This window comes from Homo sapiens, chromosome 9 (assembly GCF_000001405.40).
Source record: "Homo sapiens chromosome 9, GRCh38.p14 Primary Assembly".
NCBI lineage: Eukaryota > Metazoa > Chordata > Mammalia > Primates > Hominidae > Homo > Homo sapiens.
This window is the reverse complement of record NC_000009.12, coordinates 84074358-84096072: the sequence shown is the minus strand read 5'-3', so window position 1 is coordinate 84096072 and position 21715 is coordinate 84074358. Positions and strand designations below refer to the sequence as shown.

Genomic DNA, 21715 nt, shown 5'->3' with positions numbered 1-21715 from the left:
AGATCAGACACAGCTGCATAACTTTTCATCATCAACAAAATCAGAGGCAGTAGGAGGAAAGTGTTAGGAACACAGGCATCAGAGCCACACAAGCTGGGTTCAAGGAATACTTCTGCCATGGACTAGCTGTGTCACTTAGGGCACGATAATTAAACTCTCTGAGCCTCATCTGTAAATAGGGAGAGCAGGGAATCTGAGGATTAAGTGGGATAAAACATGTCAAATATTTAGCATAGTGGACATATCATGAATGATTACTGTTGTTATTATCACACAGCAAAATCCTGCATGGGACGAAGAGCTAGAATCTTACATTTAGGCCTCAAAAGGCATAATGCTCCCAGTTGGAACCACAGCTATTTTTCCTCCTCAAAATCTTTTTCAGAATATGGCAAGATTTAAATAAATAACTAATTAAACAGTCACCTGTTTCTGAAATTTTTTCATTGTCCTTTGGCTTCTGCCCTTGTCTCAATTATTTCTAGATTGCCTCTCTTTCGAAGAAGTTTGTTGCATACTCTAGAGAAACATTTAATATAAGTCCAAACCAAATGTAATTAGTAAAATAATCTTCACATCATATCACACATTCCAAGTCAAATGTTCAAATTATTCTATTTGGCCTATGCCTCTTTTGCAGATAATTGAGAAATGACTGCTATAGCAGTACAGACATTCAGGATTAAAATGTGTGTACTATCCATTCAAATGAGACAATACCTACCCCTTTAAGACAAAGTCACGCCGGGCACGGTGGCTCACGCCTGTAATCCCAGCACTTTGGGAGGCCGAGGCGGGCGGATCACGAGGTCAGGACATCGAGACCACGGTGAAACCCCGTCTCTACTAAAAATACAAAAAATTAGCCAGGCGCAGTGGCGGGCGCCTTGTAGTCCCAGCTACTCGGGAGGCTCAGGCAGGAGAATGGCGTGAACCCGGGAGGCGGAGCTTGCAGTGAGCCGAGACTGCGCCACTGCACTTCAGCCTGGGCGACGGAGCGAGACTCCGTCTCCAAAACAAAAAAAAAAGTCACATCACCAGAAATACTCATAACTACTTTAAACTGGGTCATTCCCACTAGTAAGTTAACATACCTATAAAAAGCTGCTTCTATTAAAATGTGGGGTTGTGAGGGGTTTTTTCCCAGTTTAAGATGCTATGCAACTGGAACCTTAGAGAAAAGGTAAATTTTGTATAAGAAAATAAAAACACAGAGAGAAAGAAGATGAAAAGTATAGAGAAAAGGAACCATTGAAGATGAAAGAGAGAGAAAAGAAGGCTAGCTTATGCCTAGGCCTGATGGTGACCATAAATTCAAGGCATCTCAGGTGGGAGGAGTAGCAGGCATCCTTCAACAAACTGTACCTGGCTGCTGAACAATGCTGAGTAATATCCAGGAGCTGTACATCAAAGTAAAATAAGTCCCAGAAATCCAGGTCCCAGAAGGGTTGTTTCTTTCTTTCTTTCTTCCTTTTTTTTTTTTTTTTTTTTTTTTGGAGACGGAGTCTTACTCTGTCAACCGAGGCTGGAGTGCGGCGGCACGATCTCGGTTCACTGCAACTTCTGCCTCCTGGATTCAAGCGATTCTCCTGCCTCAGCCTCCCCAGTAGCTGGGATTATAGGTTCCTGCCACCACGCCCCGCCATGTTGGCGAGGCTGGTCTCAAATTCTAGGCCTCAGTTGATCCACCCGCCTCGGCCTCCCAAAGTGCTGGGATTACAGGTGTGAGCCACTGCACACGGTCAAAAAGCATTCTTGATTATAAATTGTGCCAAGAGAATTTAAATATATTCAGTGACTATAGTCTAGGGATTTACAATAAAAGACTTACTTTACAATTGAAGCTATATAATGTAAATTAAATAATAACTGTGAAGGTTCTGTGTGAAGTGCAGCCACACAAGTGTATTGTTCTTTATTGGCATGCATTACAATGTAAAAAATGTAGAAAGTGACATAGAGGATGAATGGGCTGTTCGGGTTGGGGAAGATGGACTGAACTATTTTTTCCTAATGAACATAATCAGCTTTCAGCTGGGTAAAAAAGCCCCACAAGTGTTCAGGCTATTAAATGATTCTCACCAGCCACCTGGTCATGATACAGCTAATGAGAGTGAGCGGGTAAAGACTCAAGGAACTGTGAGTCAAATTACGAAGTTTTATTAAAATGTTTCTCCACGTGTCTTCAATTATTTAGATCCAATCTAATCTTCCTTCAAAATTAAAGTCTGGGGTTCAAGCTAATTTATGTTACTGAACTTTTAAAAATAGATGTTCTTTCTACCTGTATGTACCATCATGGAAGGGCATGGTATGTTTCCACAGCACTGTTGTTGAAACACAACCATTTTTCTAAACTTATTACAATAACATGCAATGGAAAGAGCATTACTGGAGCACTGTCCCTGAAAACTGACATTTAGAAACCCTCCAAATTACCTTCTTCCCCACTGTCCTGCCTCTCCACTTCTGTAACTGCATCTTCAGCAGCTATAGCCAAGCTCCCTTTCATTTCTCCTAAACCCCATGGCAAGTTGGACACAGACAAAGTGAAGACTCTAGGTCAAAGTTGGAGAGAATGACAATAGATATTCAGCTTCTTGGATAATTATTACAGAACTGTCCCTAAATCTGGAATGTCAGGGGCCATTCAAGAAATAACCCATCTATGACATAAAAACTATCTATCGGGTACTATGCTTATTACCTGGGTGAAAAAAATAATCTGTATACTAAACCCTGTGACACCCAATTTACCTATGTAACAAACCTGCACCTGTACCCCTGAACCTAAAATACAAGTTAAAAACAAAAAGAGGCTGGGCACGGTGTATTATTATAATAATAATACTTTTTAATGATTTTTTTAATGATGAAGCTGTTTTTAAAAAACATACCAAAAGCAAAGTCCTGGCTCACAATATAAACTTAAAAGACAATGACTCTTATAGTCACATAGGAAATAATGGTTAAGTTTAATGAACGAAATAAACCAAGGTAGTTGAGACTGTTCAATATATGCAATTCTATACATTTGTTAACAAATTTAATTACTTTGATGAATAAGTGAGCTGTGAAAGAGCTGCCTTGTAATGATTGCGATATTTAATTGATCCAGCTTGAACTAAGAGGACAAGGCTGAAACACTTTGGATCAAAACAGAAGCTTCACTGAGGTAACTTAATGTGCACTGAGCTTTGTCGCCTGAAAAGAAGAATAAAAGAACTTTAATCTTAACTGTCTACTCCAGAAAAGCATTCTGAATGACGTGGGACCAACTAGGGAAATTCATGTCTAATGCTGCTGCTGCTGTTGCTAAAAAGCTTCTGTACAGCAAAGAAAACAATCGACAAAGTGAAGAGATGCCCTACAGAATGGGAGAAAATATTTGCAAACTATGCATCTGACAAAGCATTAATAACAAGAATATAAGAGGAATTCAATTTGACAGCAAAAAAAAAAAAAGAATTTGATTATAAAACAATGGGCAAGACATCTGAATAGATATTTCTCAAAAGAAGACATATAAATAGTCAACAAGTAGATGAAAAAATGTTAAACATCACTAATCATCAGGGAAATGCAAATCAAAACCACAATGAAATATTATCTTACCCGAGTTTAAATGGCTATTACCAAAAAAACAGAAAATAACAAATGCTGGCGACAATGTGGAGAAAAGGAACTCGTATACACTGCTGATGGGAATGTCAATTAGTACAGCAACTATGAAAACAGTTTGGAGGTTCCTCAAAAAACCTAAAAAGAGAATGCAATCCCATTGCTGGATATATATGCAAAAGAGAGGAAATTAGTATATCAAAGAGATATCTTCACTCCCATAGTTATTACAGCACTATTTATAATAGCCAAGATAATGGAATCAACCTACATATCCATCAACGAATGTATAAAGTAAATTAGGTATAGATACACAATGGAATATTATTCAGCTATAAAAGAAATGAAATGCTGTCATTTGCAGCAAGATGAATGGAATTGGAGGATATTATGTTAAGTGAAATAAGCCAGCATAGAAGAATAAATATTGCATGTTCTCACTCATATGTGAGAGCTTAAAAAAGTCAATCTCATGGTGGTGGAGATTAGAATGGTGGGTACTGGAGGCTGGAAAGGAAGGAGGAGGAAGATGAAGAGATGTTGGTAAATGGGTACGAAAATATAGTTAGATAAAAGGAGTAAGTTCTAGTATTCAAGAGCACAGTAGGGTGACTATTATTAACTATAATTTACTATATATTTCTTCTATATTTCAAATAGCTAGAGGAGAAAATTAGGAATATTCCCAACAGAAAGAAATTATAAACGTTTGAGGTGATGGAGATTTCAATTACCCTTTGATCATTACACATTGTATGCATGTATCAAAATATTACATATATTCCCTAAGTGTATACGATCATTATGTATGAATTTTTAAAAAATACAAACAATATACAAAAACATAAAGTGAAAAGTGGCATACTCAACCCATTCCCATCACCACTCCAACAGGTAATCATTCTTATTACTTTCTTATAATCCTTCTGAAGTTTCTTTATGCATTTAGAAACAAATGTGAATATATATGTTTATTTACTTCTCTTTTCCCACAAAAGGTTGCATAATATATAGTCTTCTGCACTTTTTTTGCTGAAGAATGCAATTATTTGTGTACAAGTTTTATTTTGCCTGTTTATAGTCATACTTCCAATTGAGAAACCTCCATATTAGGATGTTCATTCTCCAAAAAATTAATCTATATAAATTCAGGCAATTCTACTCAAAATCTCAACAATAGTTTTTGTAGACTATGACCAACTGATTTTAAAGTTCATCTTGCTCTCCCTGGTGTGAAAATATACTATAAAACTACAGTAATTAAAACAGTATGCTACTGATAAAGAGACAAATAGACTGATGGGTAAGAATATAAAGTCCTCCCAGCCTGGGCAACGTGTTGAAACCCCATCTCTACAAAAAATACACAAAAAAATTAGCCAGGCATGGTGATGCGTGCCTATAGTCCCAGCTACTCAAGAGGCTGAGACAGCAGAATGGCTTAAACCTGGGAGGCAGAGGTTGCAGTGAGCTGGGCTCACGCCACTGCACTCCAGAGCGAGACTCTGTCTCAAAAAATAAATAAATAAATAAATAAAAAGAAGAAAAATTAGGCTGTTATCTAATATCAAACATAAAGATAAGTTATTTTATCAATTGTATTAAAGATGTCAGTATTATAAACATATATACAGGTATACCTCTTTTTTTTTTTTTTTTTTTTTTTTTTTTGAGACAGTTTCTCACTCTGTTACCCAGGCTGGTGTGCAGTGTTGCAATCATGGCTCAGTGCAGCCTCAACTTCCCAGGTTCAAGCAATCCTCCTCCTGAGTAGCTGGGACCACAGGTGTGTGCCACTGTGCCCTGCTAATTTTTTTATTTTTTTGTAGAGACGGGGTCTGACTATGTTGCCGAGATTGCTCTCAAACTCCTAGGATCAAGTGATCCTCCTGTACCCACCCCATACCTCATTTTATTGTGTTTCACTTTATTGCACTTTGCAGATACTGCATTTTTTTTTATAAAGATTTGTAACAACCCTTCATTAAACAAATCTGTTGGTGCCATTTTTCCAACAGCATGTGCTCCCTTCATGTCTCTGTGTCACATTTTGGTAATTCTCACAATATTTCAAAGTTTTTTATTATTATATCTGTTATAGTGATCTGTGGTCCATGATCTTTGGTGTTACTATTGTAATTGGTTTGGGGCACCATAAATGACACCCACATAAGACTACAAACTGTCTGTTCAGACTGCTCCACCAACCAGCCATCTTCTCATCTCTCTCCCTCTCTCCTTGAGCCTCCCTTTCCCCGAGACACAATAATATTGAAATAGGCCAATTTGTAGTCCTGCAATTGTCTCTAAGTTCAAGTGAAAGGAAGAGTTGCACGTCTCTCACTTGAAATCAAAAGCTAAAAATGATTAAGCTGACTGAGGTTAGCATGTCAAAAACCAAAAGAAATTGAAAGCTAGGTCTCTTGTACCAAACAGTTGCCCAAGTTGTGAATGCAAAAGAAAAGTTATTGAAGGAAATTAAAAGTGCTGTTTCAGTGATAGCACACAAATGATAGGAAAGCAAAACAGCCTTATTTCTGATATGGAGAAAGCTGTAGTGATTTCTGTAGAAAATCAAACCAGCCACACTATTTCCTTAAGCCAAAGCCTAATGCAGAGAAACGCCCTAACTCTCTTCAATAATATGAATGCTGAGAAAGGTGAGGAAGCTGCAGTAGAAAAGTAGGAATTCAGCAGATGTTGGGTTCATGAGGTTTAAGGAAAGAAGCCATTTCCATAACATAAAAGTCAAGGTGGGGAGTGGGTGTAAAAAACAAAAAAGTGCAAGGTGAGGCAGCAACTGCTGATGGAGAAGCTGCAGCAAGTTATCCAGAAGATCTAGCTAGGATCACTGATGAAGGTGGCTACACTAAACAACAGATTTTCAAAGTAGACAAAAGTCTTCTATTGGAAGATGCAATCTAGGACTTTCATAACTAGAGAGGGGAAGTCAAGGACTGGCTTCAAAGCTTCAAAGGACAGGCTGACCCTCTTGTTAGAGAATCATGCCACCAGTGACTTTAAGTTGAATCCAATGCTCATTTACCATCCCAAAATCCTAGGACCCTTAAGAATTATGCTAAATTGGCCAGGCGCAGTGGCTCACACCTGTAATCCCAGCACTTTGGGAGGCCAAGGCGGGTGGATCACCTGGGGTTAGGAGTTCAAGACCAGGCTGGCCAACATGGTGAAACCCCGTCTCTACTAAAAATACAAAAATTAGCTGGGCATGGTGGCAGGCACCTGTAATCCCAGCTACTTGGGAAGCTGGGGCAGGAGAATCGCTTGAACCCAGGAGGTGGAGGTTGCAGTGAGCCATGATGGTGCCATTGTACTCCAGCCTTGGCAACAAGCGAAACTCTGTCTCAAAAAATAAATAAGTAAATAAAAATAAAAGAGTTATGCTAAATCTACTCTGCCTGTGCTCTATAAATGGAATAACAAAGCCCAGATGACAGCACATCTGTTGGCATCACGGTTTACTAAATATTTTAAGTCCACTGTTGGGACCTGCTCCTCAGAAAAAAAAAAAAAAAGATTATTTTCAAAATATTTCGGCTTATTGGCAATGTACCTGGTCACCCAAGAGCTCTGATACAGATGTATAAGGAGATTAATGTTGTCATGCCTGCTAATACCACATCTACTCTGTAGCCCATGGATCAAGGAGTGATTTTTACTTTCAAGTCTTATTATTTAAGAAATATATTTCATAAGGCTCTAGTGGACTTAGATAGTGATTCCTCTGATGGATCTGAGCAAAGTAAATTGAAAACTTTCTGGAAACGATTCACCATTCTCAATGACATTAAGAACATTCGTGATTCATGGGAGGAGGTCAAAATATGAATATTAACAGGAGTTTGGAGAAAGTTCATTCCAACTCTTATGGATGACCTTGAGGGATTCAAGGCCTCAGTGTAGGAAGGAACTGCATATGTAGTAAAAATAGCAAGAGAACTAGAATTAGAAGAGAAGCCTGAAGATGTAACTAAATTGCTGAAACCTTACGATAAAACTTGAAAGGATGAAGACTCACTTCTTTGGATGAGCAAAGAAAGTACTTTCTTGAGGTGGAATGATGAAGGTGCTGTGAACATTGTTGAAATGACAACAAATAATTTAGAATATTACATAAACTTAGTTGATAAAGCAGCAGCAGGGTTTGAGAGGATTGACTCCAATTTTGAAAGAATTTCTACTGTGAGTGAAATGTTATCAAACAGAATTGCATGCTAGAGAAATCTTTCTTGAAAGGAAGAGCAGACTGATGCAGCAAACTTCATTGTTATTTTAAGAAGTTGCCACAGCCACCCCAACCTTCAGCAACCACTACCCTGATCTGTCAGCAGCCATCAACACTGAGGCAAGATCCTCCACCAGCAAAAAGATTACAGTCCACTAAAGGCTCAGATGATTGTTAGCCTCATGCATGCATTTTTATGCAGAAGGAAACTAGGAGAATATATTTGTAAGCTTGTGGCAAGGAAGATTTTCTTAAGCCAAATGTGAAAAAAATGAAAGATTGGTAGACTTGCTTCCAAAAACAGAAAAACTTAACCACAAAAGACATAAACCAAGTTTTTAGGACAAATGAGAAACAGGGAGAAAACATTTATAACATGATGGCCTCCCTCATCACTTCTATTCAAGTCCTAGCTAGAGCAATCAGGCAAGAGAAAGTAATAAAATGCATCCAAATAGGAAGAGAGGACGTCAAACTATCTCTGTTCACAGACAACATGATTCTATACCTAGAAAACCCCCATAGTCTCTGCCCAAAAGCTCCTTCAGCTGATAAACAACTTCAGCAAAGTTGCAGGATATAAAATCAATGTATAAAAATCACTGGCATTCCTGTACACCAACAAGCCAAACCAAGAGCCAAATCAGGAAGGCAATCCCATTCACAATTGCCACATACACACACGCCTGCAAAACAAACAAACAAAAATAAACCTAGGAATACAGCTAACCATAGAGGTGAAAGAGCTCTACCATGAGAATTACAAAACACTGACCAAAGAAATCAGAGAAGACACAAAAAATGAAAAATCCCATGCTCATGGATATGAAGAATCAGTATTATTAAAATGGCTATACTGCCCAAAGCAATTTATAGATTCAGTACTTTCCTATCAAACAAGTCCATTCTTCACAGAACTATTTTAAAGAAAGGCTATTTTAAAACTTATATGGAACCAAAAAAGAGCCCAAATAGCCAAAGCAATCCTAAGCAAAAAGAACAAAGCTGGAGGCATCACATTACCCGACTTCAAACTATGCTACTAGGCTACGGTAACCAAAACAGCATGTTACTAGTACAAAAACAGGCACATAGACTAATGGAACAGAATAGAGAGCCCAGAAATAAGCCTCACATCTACAACCATCTGATCTTCGACAAAGCTGACAAAAACAAGCAATGGGGAAAAGGCTCTCTATTCAAGTGGGATCTCATTAAACTTAAGAGCTTCTGCACAGCAAAAGAAACTAACAACAAAGTAAACAGACAACCTAAAGAGTGGAAGAAAATATATGCAAACTATGCATCTGATGAAGGTCTAATACCCAGCATCTATAAGGAACTTAAATAAATTTACAAGAGAAAAACAATCCCATTAAAAAGTGGGCAAAGGACATGAACAGACACTTCTCAAAAGAAGACATGCATGCAGCCAACAAGGATATGAAAAAAGCTCAATATCACTAATTATTAGAGAAATGCAAATCAAAACAATGAGATATCATCTCACACCAGTCAGAATGGCTATTAAAAAGCCAAAAATAACAGATGCTGGAAAGGTTCCAGAGAAAAGGGAACGCTTATACACTGTTGGTGGGAGTGTAAATTAGTTCAACCATTGTGGAAAGCAGTATGGTGATTCCTCAAAGAGCTAAAAGCAGCTGATCCAGCAATCCTATTACTGGGTGTATCCCCCGGAATATAAAGCATTCTACCATAAAGGGACATGCATGCAAATGTTCATTGCGGCACTATTAACAAAAGCAAAGACATGGAATCAACCTAAATGCCCATCAATGACAGATTGGATAAAGAAAATATGGTACATATACATCATGGAATATTATGCATCAATAAAAAACAACAAGATCATGTCTTTTGTGGAAACGTGGATGGAGCTGGAGGCTACCATCCTTTGCAAACTAATGCAGGAACAGAAAACCAAATACTGCATATTCTCACTTATAAGTGGGAGCTAAATGATAAGAACACATGCACACAAAGAAGGAAACAACAGACACTGGGGTCTACTTGATGGGGGAGGGTGGGAAGGTAGAAGAGGAGCAGAAAAGATAACTATTGGGTACTTGGCTTAACACCGGGGTGATGAAATAGTATATACAACAAACCGCTGTGACACATTTACCTATGTAACAAACCTTCATATGTACCCCCGAACCTAAAATAAACGTTTATTTAAAATAACATGTATAGGTAATCACTGTACAAAGGTCAGAATCACTACCTGAGGCCCGAATATCAGCACAAGATAGTGCCTGAAACAGTCATAAGAAGAGGCCCCATTCCCCCATTCTTTCTGCCCAAGTGGAGGTTTCCAGTTTAGGTAAATAAAGGGATTGTGGCAGGTGCGGGGGAACATGTACAGCAAAAGATTATTATTCCAAAAGTAAGTTAATATTCCAGAATATAAAAGATACAAATGGCTTAGTAAATATATGAAAAATGCTCACTCTTACTCGGAATCAGTGAAACGTACATTGAGAGATCAAATGAATAGCACTTTCTTTACCCATTAGATTATGAAAAATGTTTAGAGGTTTAAAATAGCTGGTAATTTTGAAAATGCTTCCACAAATGTCCAAAGCGGAATGAAGAATTTTGTTGCAGTATTATTTGTAATAATAAAAAGTCAAACAATATGTATGTCTGTAAAGAAAGGAATAGTTAAATAAACTTCAAATATCAACATAACGGAATCTCAAATAGCAATTTTTAGGTAGATTTAGACCCTGCTAAACATGGAAAGTTCTCCAAATGTACACTTAAGTGAAAAAAGTAACTTACAGAATACTATATACAGCATGATAATTTGTGCATATATATATATGATTCTACATGAGCGTTCAAACGTAAATGTGTAGAAAATTAAATATCTCAAAGGATACACACCAAACCGATAGATACAGTGTTTCTGGGTTTTTGTTTTTTTTTTTTGCCAAAGAGAGAAGTGAAATGACCTCACAGGAGGAAAGGTTAAAAAGGAGATATCTTCTTTATATAATTTATACCCCTTGACTTTTTATAAGAATGTATAAGGTATTACATGTACAAATAAAAAGTATACGTTGACATTTTTTAGGAAGTGCAAAGGAATATAACTTGCATGCATATTTTCAAAAGACAAAAGGCAGATTGGGAAAAATATTTGTAACATAAATTAAAAATGGGATTAATACTGTTCATACGCAAATAATACCTATACATCAATTTTAAAAAGAAGCCCAATAAAAACATTTAAAAAAAGAAGAAAAAGAAAAATCAGTAGGCTGGGTGCGGTGGCTCATGCCTATAATCCCAGCACTTTGGGAGGCTGAAGCAGGTGGAACACCTGAGGTCAGGAGTTCGAGACCAGCCTGACCAACATGGTGAAACCCTGTCTCTACTAAAAATACAAAAAATTAGCTGGGCATGGTAGCAGGTGCCTGTAATCCCAGCTACGCAGGAGGATGACACAGGAGAATCGCTTGAACCCAGGAGGCAGACATTGCAGTGAGCTGAGATCGCACCACTGCACTCTAGCCTGGACAACAAGAGTGAAACTCCGTCTCGAAAAAAAGGAAGGAAGGAAGAGAGTGAGGGAGGGTGGGAGGGAGGGAGAATTAGTAATAGAGTGGCACAGAAAAACTCACAAGAGAATAACTATAACCAAAAAGGGGCAGGTAAATGGGAAAAAAAGAATCACTGTAAATGGCAAATAAGTGTAGTATATTTAAAAAAAAAAAAAAGTCTTATGAGTGATAAGAAAAAAGACTTATAGGGTTAAATTTCCCCAGACCAAATTACCCAAAGGTAATGAAGTTTAAAATGATGAGAAGCCACCAAGCATCCCATAGGAGCAGATGACAAATCAGGACCATCAGGAAATGTTTAAAAAAATGATCTTCCAAGAAATTAGGATTTATGGAGAAGAGGTGAGAAGCAGCAGCCAGGAGCAGCTTCAGAAAGAAGATGTCAGAGAGAGCAGGGGTAAACAAGATAAACTCTTCTGTGTGTTAGCTATATTCTTGGCTCCATTTTGTTGATTCTATTCTTGTTTTCCTTTCTTATTTCACTCCGGTTTTCATAGGCCATTTTGTTGTATTTTATTCATCTTGTAAACTGCCTTTCATGTCTGGAACATTTTTGAGAACAGATCATCAAATGAATGGATGATTTATTCATCAAATGGTCAAATGAATGAATGGTTGAATATATTGTGACTGTTTTCAAGAAAAGAAAGGTCCTTGAAGTAATCTAGAAGGATGAGAATACCAGACATTCTGAGTAAAATCTACTTTAGAATCACTGCACAATAACCTAGGCCTCAGATTCCCAGAGAAGGGGATGTATGAGGATTAAGTGTTATACCAAGCACTTAAAGGAGTGCTGGTCCTATGTCAGCAGAACTCATAGCACTGTTAAAATACATAGTATACCAAAATATTATTATAAGGGAGGTTTTATTATTTATTTTATAAGGATAGGCTACCTGCTATAGCAAATGAAAAAAAAATGTATAATGGCCCAGATTCAATAGAAGTTTATTTCTTGCTCATGGAAACAGTACTGAGCAAGTGAATAACTTGGCAGAATAGTCATTCAGGGAACTCAAGCTCATAGAGTCATAACATCCTCAACAAGTGGCTTCCAAGGTTGCCCTGGGAATCGCATCATTCCAACCAGCCATTAGGAGAAAAAAGCAAGGTACATGTGGGAGGTTTTTATGAACCAAGCTGGAAGTAGTATGTATCAATTTTGAATAAAACTCAGGCATGTGACCAAACCTAACTGTACGAAGGGCACATAGTCTAGCCCAGAATGAAGAGGAGAACAAGGACTCGGGTGAGTCCCTAGTCTTTCCTGCCATACACCTAAAGTGAGACTTAAATAAGGGACCTCAATAAATTCTAAGCTCCATCCTGTGATTCTCCTTCTCAGGAACCTGGGAAAATGTACCAAACACCTCTTCAAGAATTACTTTGGTGGTTGGGCACAGTGACTCACGCCTGTAATCCCAGCACTTTGGGAGGCTGAGATGGGTGGATCACCTGAGGTTGGGAGTTTGAGACCAGCCTGGCCAATATGGTGAAACCTCGTCTCTACTAAAAATACAAAAAAAATTAGCTGGGTATGGTGGCATGTGTCTGTAATCCCAGCTACTTGGGAGGCTGAGGCAGGAGAATCGTTTGAACCAGGGAGGTGGAGGTTGCAGTGAGCCAAGATCATGCCACTGCACTCCAGCTTGGGCAACAGAGTGAGACTCTGTCTCACCAAAAAAAATAATAATAATAAAATAAAATAAAATAAAATTCCTTTGGTAAAAAATTCCAGATGAGAATTCCATCTCCCAAAACTCCACTATTAGAGGCTTTTTCAGAGAAGTCTCCTATTCCAATATAGAAGAAGGAAAGGGAGAAAAAAAAGCTTACCCCTGCAGTATATTTTAAGAGGGTCACTGCGGTCTTCAGGGGAAATCAGAGATGAAAGGTTGACTGTGCTTGTAAATAGGGAAGATTTTTCTGTGCAGCCTTGTGCATTGTTGCAGAGAATGTCACGCTGATGTCAATCTTTGTTAAGCCACTGATCAATCCTTTGCAGAGGCACATTTTTTAAAAATATTACTTCTATTGTTCACTGTGCCTTGCTCTGGTAAGGCTATTTCCACTCTGAGTAGGAGATAAAAGAACAGCTGCACCACATCTCTTAACCATGAACCTTACCAGGCACCCATTTTGCTAAAAAGAAAAAATCAATTTTTAGTTTTACAAGAGAGAAATAAAGCCCATTTAAAAGAAAATGTTTAGAATGTCTATTTAAATGCAAATTGAACTACAGCATTTACATGTGTCAATTAAAGTCCCTCCAAGAATTTTCTTAAAATATTAGCATTTGCTCATGTGAACTTTTTATTTTAAAGAAAGAGACTCACAATTAAAAATTGTTCTGAATATCATGGCAGTTGCTATAAAAAGGTAGCTCATTATTAGCTCTGGTAACGTTTGACTTGAGGGACTAATTTATTTTCAGCATGAAAAACATGATGGCTCCTTTACCCATCCAAGAAAGGTCAAGACTTTCAACTCAATGTGACCTCCCATGATTTTATCCTGCTTCCACCCACCCTAGACAGAAGAGCCAAGTTGAGCAGTGATTGCCTGCCACCCACAACACAATCTAAGAATATTAAAGAACTAACATTTGCTGAGGACCTACAGTGATGCCAATCATTTTCTTCTTCGGCTTATGTCTGTCAGCTTCCACAGTTACCCTACAGAGAGGGAAATGGGTAAACATTATTATTCTATTTTACAGATGAGGAAACAGGCTCAAAAGAATACCAATTTACCCTCAGTATTACAATGAGTAAATTGCTAAGTTCACAATTCAAAGCCAAGTGGATGTTATTCCAAAACCCACAGCCCTCATTGCTCTTCCAAGCTAGCTCACATATGTCCAGGTCAGCTAGGCTCTTCCTAATCAGATGCTCTTTCCTGCCTGCATGGAGGCCAAGTGCTCTTGGGGTTGTACTGCAAGTAGTGGGTCCTTTTCAGTGGAGTGACTTTTGTAGGAAAGAAAAAACAGCAACAACTGACCCTGCAAAGAAACTCTACCTAAAAACCGACATCATGTAATTTGCCTGGCCAGCCCTTTAAGGCTGTCCATCCCCTCTTCCAATCAGGAAAAGTTCCCATGTTATTTTATTATACCCAGATGGATATGATTGGCCTTACTAGATGTACAAGACAGTATGAGAGGATTCAAGGAAAGTCTGCCTACTCACACCCACCACTTACCTCTCCCCAAAAGCTTCCTACATCTGCTCACTGATCCCAGAAATTACTTTAACAGATGATCAAGCCTTTAGTTCACAATTAGAGAGAATGATAGTAGAAGGGATATGAGGTAAGGGAGGCCAGTTACCTTAAATTCACACAAAAACTGCACCGGACAATAGCAAATCTTTTTGTATACAATTCTGACATAAGAAGAGGAACATTGACAAATAACACAATAGCATGCTGCTGCCATTGATTTTTATCTAGACCATAACAGACATCACTAATGGAACCCAGCCCAATTTCCCTCTGAGCTTAGACAAAACAATCACCTCAACACAGCACTCTAATCATAGTTGATACATATGATTAGACCCAATATACCCATTCCAGGAATAAAGGGATGCAGGAATCCTTCTGCATGAGGAAGTGCATAAAGTGTCATGAGGTTGGCAAAGCCTGTGGAAGGAAAAGGGTGTGTTCTCCATGGTGCATTTAACCAACTTCCCAATTTTGTTTGGGATCAGTAACCCAAGATTCACAACACTGCTCACAGAAGGCATCATTGGCAGGTAAATTGTAAGAGTGCAAATGCTGGTGGGGAAGGGTAAGTGTTGCCTCCTTCCTGAGTTTCTTCTGTAACAGCCCAGCTACCATTACCATTGGAATAAAACCAATAGGTCACAAGTATTCATATGTTTACCACAAAGACTGCTGTGATCGTAAATTACCTACCTTGGAACCTCAAAGACAAAACTAAAGAGTTACATATAAGACTGCCAGTTCCAGCCCAGCGTGGTGGCTCATGCCTATAATCCTAGCACTTTGGGAGGCTGAGGCGGGTGGATCACAAGGTCAGGAGATCGAGACCATCCTGGCTAACATAGTGAAACCCCGTCTCTACTAAAAATATAAAAAAAATTAGCCAGGCTTGGTGGTAGGCGCCTCCCAGCTACTCGGGAGGCTAAGGCAGGAGAATGGCATGAACCTGGGAGGCGGAGCTTGCAGTGAGCTGAGATCACGCCACTGCACTCCAGCCTGGGCGACAGAGCAAAACTCCATCTCAAAAAAAAAAAAAAAAGTGCCAGTTCCAGGTAAAATTGAATAAGCCCACTCTACTCTGTCTCACCCACTCGATAAAAATATAAAACCTGGAAATAATGCCTGGAGAAGCTATTTGAGGAATCAGAAAAGTAAATAGTAGACCAGTGGGAGGACGGGTAGATGAGTTCCTGTTTTTCCACGAGTATCACTCAGCCTTGACACAAGGCAAGCCAAAACCCAGAAGTAGGTACCAGGAAATAAACACAGACAACTCCAGGAGAAGCCTTCAAATTTTGGATAAGAATGGTACAGGAGACTCCTAATACTCAGACAAAGTGGGAAAAAGCTCCCATTTTACTTTCTTTTTAAAAAAATTTTTTTCCAAGCCAAACTGTATCCAGCCTTATTAAAGATACTTTTCATAAATAATCATGGTATTTCAGGCAGGATGGGAGCAGACAATCATTAACAATATACAACAATTTTCAAACTCCCTTCTTCCATGGACTACCAAAAGTTGGAAACCCACTATAAAACCCAACGAATTAGCGGGGCAGTAGTAGTGTGCACCTGTAATCCCAGCTACCCAGGAGGCTGAGGCAGGAGGATCACTCGAGCCTGGGAGGCAGAGGTCGAGATCGCACCACTGCACTCCAGTCTGGGTGACAGAGTGAGACCCTCAAAAAAAAAAAAAAACAATGAAGTCTTCATCTGATGCTCTGAACAGAGAAACTTTAGAGGTTTAGAGTGAGGACTGACATTTCACATTTAGCATGTTGTTTAACAACTTTTCACAAGCCAATCCTGACTTTCAGGAAGTGAAATGAAAACGGCAGAATTTATCCGAAGATCCACAGTCTAGAAATGGAACCCCTGCTCTTTTGAGGGGTGCCATCTCAGTGGCATCACTGGAAAGTCCAGATTGCCTGACACACTGGTAACCAATTATTTGGGGTCAGGTCCCAACAGATGTCTGGGTTTGAGGGAGTTAAGTCTATGCTGAAAGGTGGAAAGGGAGAAGAGGACATAAAAACGAATTTGTTTTTCATACCACTAGGCTTTTGTGCCAAGGTGGCCATGTGTGTCAAAGTCAGGAAATCCCTCCCTTGGGAGCCAAGAGGAAGTTTCTCAAAGCAGGCGCCTGTAGTCCCAGCTACCCAGGAGGCTGAGGCAGGAGAATGGCGTGAACCCAGGAGGCAGAGCTTGCAGTGAGCTGAGATCGCACCACTGCACTTCAGCCTGGGCAACAGAGAAAGACTCTGTCTCAAAAAAAAAAAAAAAAAAAAATACAAAAAAACAGAACGGAAAAGTGTTCTCCCCCCATCAATCCAGCTTCAGAGACATTCCATGAGTGACACATGCCCCATCCCCCAAAAACAACAAGGAAGTGTTCTGTGTGCTAACAACATAGCTTAAGAAAAAAAAAAGTAAAACAAAATTCTGCGCTTTTATAAAACTTGATTTTAAAAAATAGTATTTCAAACTGTACAGTCACCAGAAGTACACAGTAATCAAAAATGCAGACACTTCACTTGGCATCTCCAGTGCCTTCAGCTTTCTGGGCCTGCTCTGTTTGGCATCTCCATTTTCTGCAGGCTTATTCCCCTCCTTGCCAGCATCAGCTTTTCCTTTTTTCCCTTTGGGTATCTTTTCTCCCTTTTTTGCAGGGGCCTTTTTAGGCTTGGGCTCTGGCTTTGGAGGAGCAGGTTTAGCAGAGACAACCTTGCAGATCTTCTCTGTGGTTTGTCCTTCACCTTGGCTTTGTCTCCTTTAGCACCCCCTTCAGCCTTCCTCTTGGGCATGGTGGTGGTGGGACATAGGCGGTATGCCGGCTTTGGTCAGTCTGGGGATTGTTGCCCCCTCTTCTTCTTCCTTTTTTTTTTTAATTTTTATTTTTGTTGGCACATAGTAGGTGTACATATTTATGGGGTACATCAGATATTTTGCTACAGGCATATAATGCATAATAATCACATCATGGAAAACGGGGTATCCATTTCCTCAAGGATTTATCCTTTGTGTTAAAGACAATCCAATTATACTCTTTTCGTTATTTTTAAATGTGCAATTGAATTATTTCGACGATAGTCATCTTGTGCTATAAAATACTAGGTATTATTCATTCATTCTTTCAAAGTACTTTTTCTATCCATTAGCCATCCCCACTTGCCCCCAATCCCTCACTACCCTTCCCAGCCTCTGGTCACCATCCTTCTACTCTCCATCTCCATATGTTCAATTGTTTGGTTTTTAGATCCCACAAATAAGTGAGAACATGCAATGTTTGTCTTTCTATACCTGGCTTATTTCACTTAGCATAACGACCTCCAGTTGCATCCATGTGGTTGCAAATGACAGGATCTCATTCTTTTTAATGGCTGAATAGTACTCCATTGTGTATATGTACCACATTTTCTTTATCCATTCATCTGTTGATGGAAACTTAGGTTGCTTTCAAATCTTGGCTATTGTGAACAGTGCTGCAACAAACATGGAATTGCAGATATATCTTTGATATACTGATTTCCTTTCTTTTGGGTATACACTTCTGGTATACACCCAGCAGTGGGATTGCTGGATTATATCGTAGCTCAACTTTTAGTTTTTTGAGGAACCTCCAACTTTTCCACAGTGACTATACTAGTTTACATTCCCACCAACAGTGTATGAGGGTTCCCTTTTATCCACATCCTCTCTAGCATTTGTTATCGCCTGTATTTTGGCTATAAGCCATCTTAACAGAGATAAGATGATATCTCATTGTGGCTTGATTTGCGTTTTTTGATGATCAGTGATGCTGAGCACCTTTTCATGTATATATTTGTCATTTGTATGTCCTCTTTTGAGAAATGTCTATTGAGATCCTTTACCCATTTTTTAAATGGGTATTAGATTTTTTCCTATAGAGTTGTTTGAGCTTCTTATATATTCTGGCTATTAACCCCCTGTCAGATGAGTAATTTGCAAATATATTCTCCCATTCTGTGGGTTGTCTCTTCATTTTGTTGATTGTTTCCTTCACTGTGCAGAAGCTGGGATCTCATTTGTCCATTTCTATTTTGGTTGCCTGTGCTTGTGGAATATTTCTCATGAAATCTTTATCCAGACCAATGTCTTGGAGAGTTTCCCCAGTGTTTTCTTTTAGTAGTTTCAGTTTCAGGTTTAACTCTTTAATCCATTTTGATAAGCCTTTAATCCATTTTGATTTGATTATTTGATTGGAATCAAAAACCTTAGAAATTTGCCTGATGTTCTATTCTACTGCAGCCAAGCTGGCACTTAAACCATAATATAAAGTCCTCCCAATCTCCCTCCTCTTTTCCATAGCAGAGGAGCCTCTCCCTGTAGCCACCACCATCAAGTTTCATTCTGCCAGGCCACCGCCGACGTTCACTTAAAACCCAAGGATTCTGCAGTCAGCTTGTGGTGAATGCTGCCAGGCCTGGGACTCACCCTTCAGGGAAGTGGGTTCCCCTCTGCTCCAGGGCAGGTCCAGAAATGCTGTCCAAGAGCCTAGGCCTGGATTCAGGGACCCCAAGAACCCACTTGGTGCTCTACCTCACTGTGGCTGGTACCTAAGGTGTAAGACAAAGTCCCTTCACTTTTCCCTCTGCTTTTCTCAAACCAAAGGGGTCTTTCATCATAGCCACTACAGCTAGGAATGTGCTGGGTCACACCTGAAGTCAGCACATCTAGAGCCCAAGGCCCACAGCGTACTACCTGGGTATCACTGCTGGTTATTCAGGGCCCAGTTGCTCTTTGGTCAGGAGGTAATAAATCCTGCTAGGACTGGCTCCTTCCTTCAAGGCAACAGGTTCCCTTTTGGCCCAGGGTGTGTCTAGAAATGTAATCCAGGAGCTAGGGCCTGGAACAGGGCCCTCATAGCTCTGCCCAGTGCCCTCTCCTACTATGGCTGAACTGCTATCCAAGATGGAAGACAAAGTCCTCTTTATTCTTCACTCTCCACCCCTTAAGCAGAAGGAAGGAGACAATGTCATTGCTACAAGCTGCACTGCCTGGTGTTAGGGGAGGGACAGTGCAAGCGCTCCTTTAGCTGCCCTGACTGGTGTCTTCCTAGGTCACGTGCCACTTTAGTCCTGTGGCTCTGAGCCCAACCCAGCACTAGGAGTTGCCTAGGATTTGCAGTTCTTGTGTCCTAGATTGTCTTTCAAGTTTACCTATGACCCCAGAGCACTTTGGGCCCCAGTGGCAAAGCGTGCCAAGAAATTTTAGGTCCAACCAATGGGATGAGTGGTTCCCCTCTGGCTAGGTCTGATCCAAGTTCTCCCTCGGTGCACCGGCACTGACTGAGCGCAGCACGGCTTTACTCTCTGCTATGACAAGACAGTACTGAGTTCAATGTAAAGCCCCCCAGTCACTGCTCTCCCTCCTCCAATGGCACAGACTCTCCACACTACAAGGCTGCTGCCAGGGGATGGGAGAGGCGTGGCATCAGCATTTCAAGATTTTCTCTCCTGCCCTCCTCAATGTCTCTTTCAATGATATGAAGTTAAAGACAGGTACTATGATTGCTCACCTGATTTTTGGTTCTTATGATGGTGCTTTTCTGTGTGCAGATAGTTTTTAAAATTTGGGTTCCTGTGGGTAGTAGGAAGGATGTAGGCTTGTAGTCCGCCATTTTTCTCCACCCGCCTATTTTTTTTTTTCTTTTACAATCTCCACGCTATCATGTCCTGGCCGCCAGGAAATCCTCCATTCGTGGCAGTAGTGGCGTTAATGGCAGCAACAGCAGCAGCAGCAGGGTCCACAGGTACCTAAAACTTTGTGGAATGGAAACTTTCTTCTCTCCTCAGAGAAGCTGTGGTCCCATGAGGATGGATCAACTCAAACAGGAGTTGATTTTTTTCTTCTATTTCCTCCTACTGCTTAGCCCCAGATGCGGGTGCAATTATGAGACTTCTGTGGCAAACTATGATCACAAAATTCCAGCTTTCTGCCTAAAAAGACAAAAATAGGGCCAGTGAACTGGAAAGGACCACAAAGATCATAGAAAGGAAGGAGATCAGGAAAGTGACCACATGACATTGTTTATGAGCTCATTGACTCACTCTCAAACTACACATGTGGGATATCATAGACTTGAGAACTAAACTATAGGATAGACCACTGCTCAGGTCCCAGATTGACCAATGGATGGTGCACACATGAGACAGATTCAAATAGCACTTCAAAACCTTTGAAAGCAGAACTGACATTGAAACCATAACCCACAGAAGAAAGGTCAGAACTTACAGCCTGTATCCAAATGAGTGAATTGCCTACTAAAGCAAGAAGACCAACATTATCCATAGGATTTAAACAAGACCTAGAGTCTCATAACATATTATCATATTATTCAAAATTTCCAGGATATAATCCAAAAGTAATAAGCATATAAAGAATCAGGAAAATCTCAACTTAAGTAACAAAACATGATTAACAGACACAAACATCAAGATTACACACATATTGCAAGTATCTGAGAGAGATTATAATGCAGCTAATGCAAAAGTGCTCCAAGAAGTATGGCAAACACTCTTAAAGCAAACAGAAAGATAGAAAATCCCAGCAAAAAAAAATAGAAAATAGAAAGAAGAACCAAATAGAAATTTTGGGGCTAATAAATACAATAGCCAAAATTTTAAAACTCACTGAAAGAGCTTAATAGCAAATAAAGATGACAGATGAATGCATCAGTGAACTTGAAGATAGATCAATAGAAATTGTTCAACAATAGAAAGAAAAAAAATTAAAAATATAATTGAGTGGAGCCTCTGTGACCTAAGGTGCTATACCAAAAAGCCTAACATCTGTGTTACAGGAATCTCATCAGGAAAGGAAAAAGGGTGTGGGGCTAAAAAAATATTTAAAGAAATAACAGCTAAAAATTTACTACCTTTGGTGAAAGACATAAAACATAAAACTTACAGATTTGAGAACCAGTAAGCCCCAGCCCCAAAAGAAATACATGCCCAAATACATCATAATCAAATTGCTGAAAACAAAACACTAGGCCAGGCGGGGTGGC

The 21715-nt window shown here is 39.5% G+C and overlaps 1 long non-coding RNA gene and 1 pseudogene across 1 annotated transcript in view; both read right to left on the bottom strand.

The window, feature by feature from the left end:
• Positions 1–1471: 1471 nt before the first annotated feature.
• Positions 1472–21715, bottom strand: part of LOC101927575 (uncharacterized) — a 31159-nt gene continuing 10915 nt past the window's right edge. The window contains exons 3-9 of the long non-coding RNA NR_110995.1: positions 20225–20645; positions 17986–18167; positions 14064–14135; positions 13297–13602; positions 11672–12121; positions 2440–2558; positions 1472–1732 (exon numbers count right to left, since the gene is read on the bottom strand). This is a non-coding gene — a long non-coding RNA (uncharacterized LOC101927575). The remainder of the gene's footprint in view (positions 1733–2439; positions 2559–11671; positions 12122–13296; positions 13603–14063; positions 14136–17985; positions 18168–20224; positions 20646–21715) is intronic.
• Positions 17016–17556, bottom strand: HMGN2P33 (high mobility group nucleosomal binding domain 2 pseudogene 33; annotated as a pseudogene).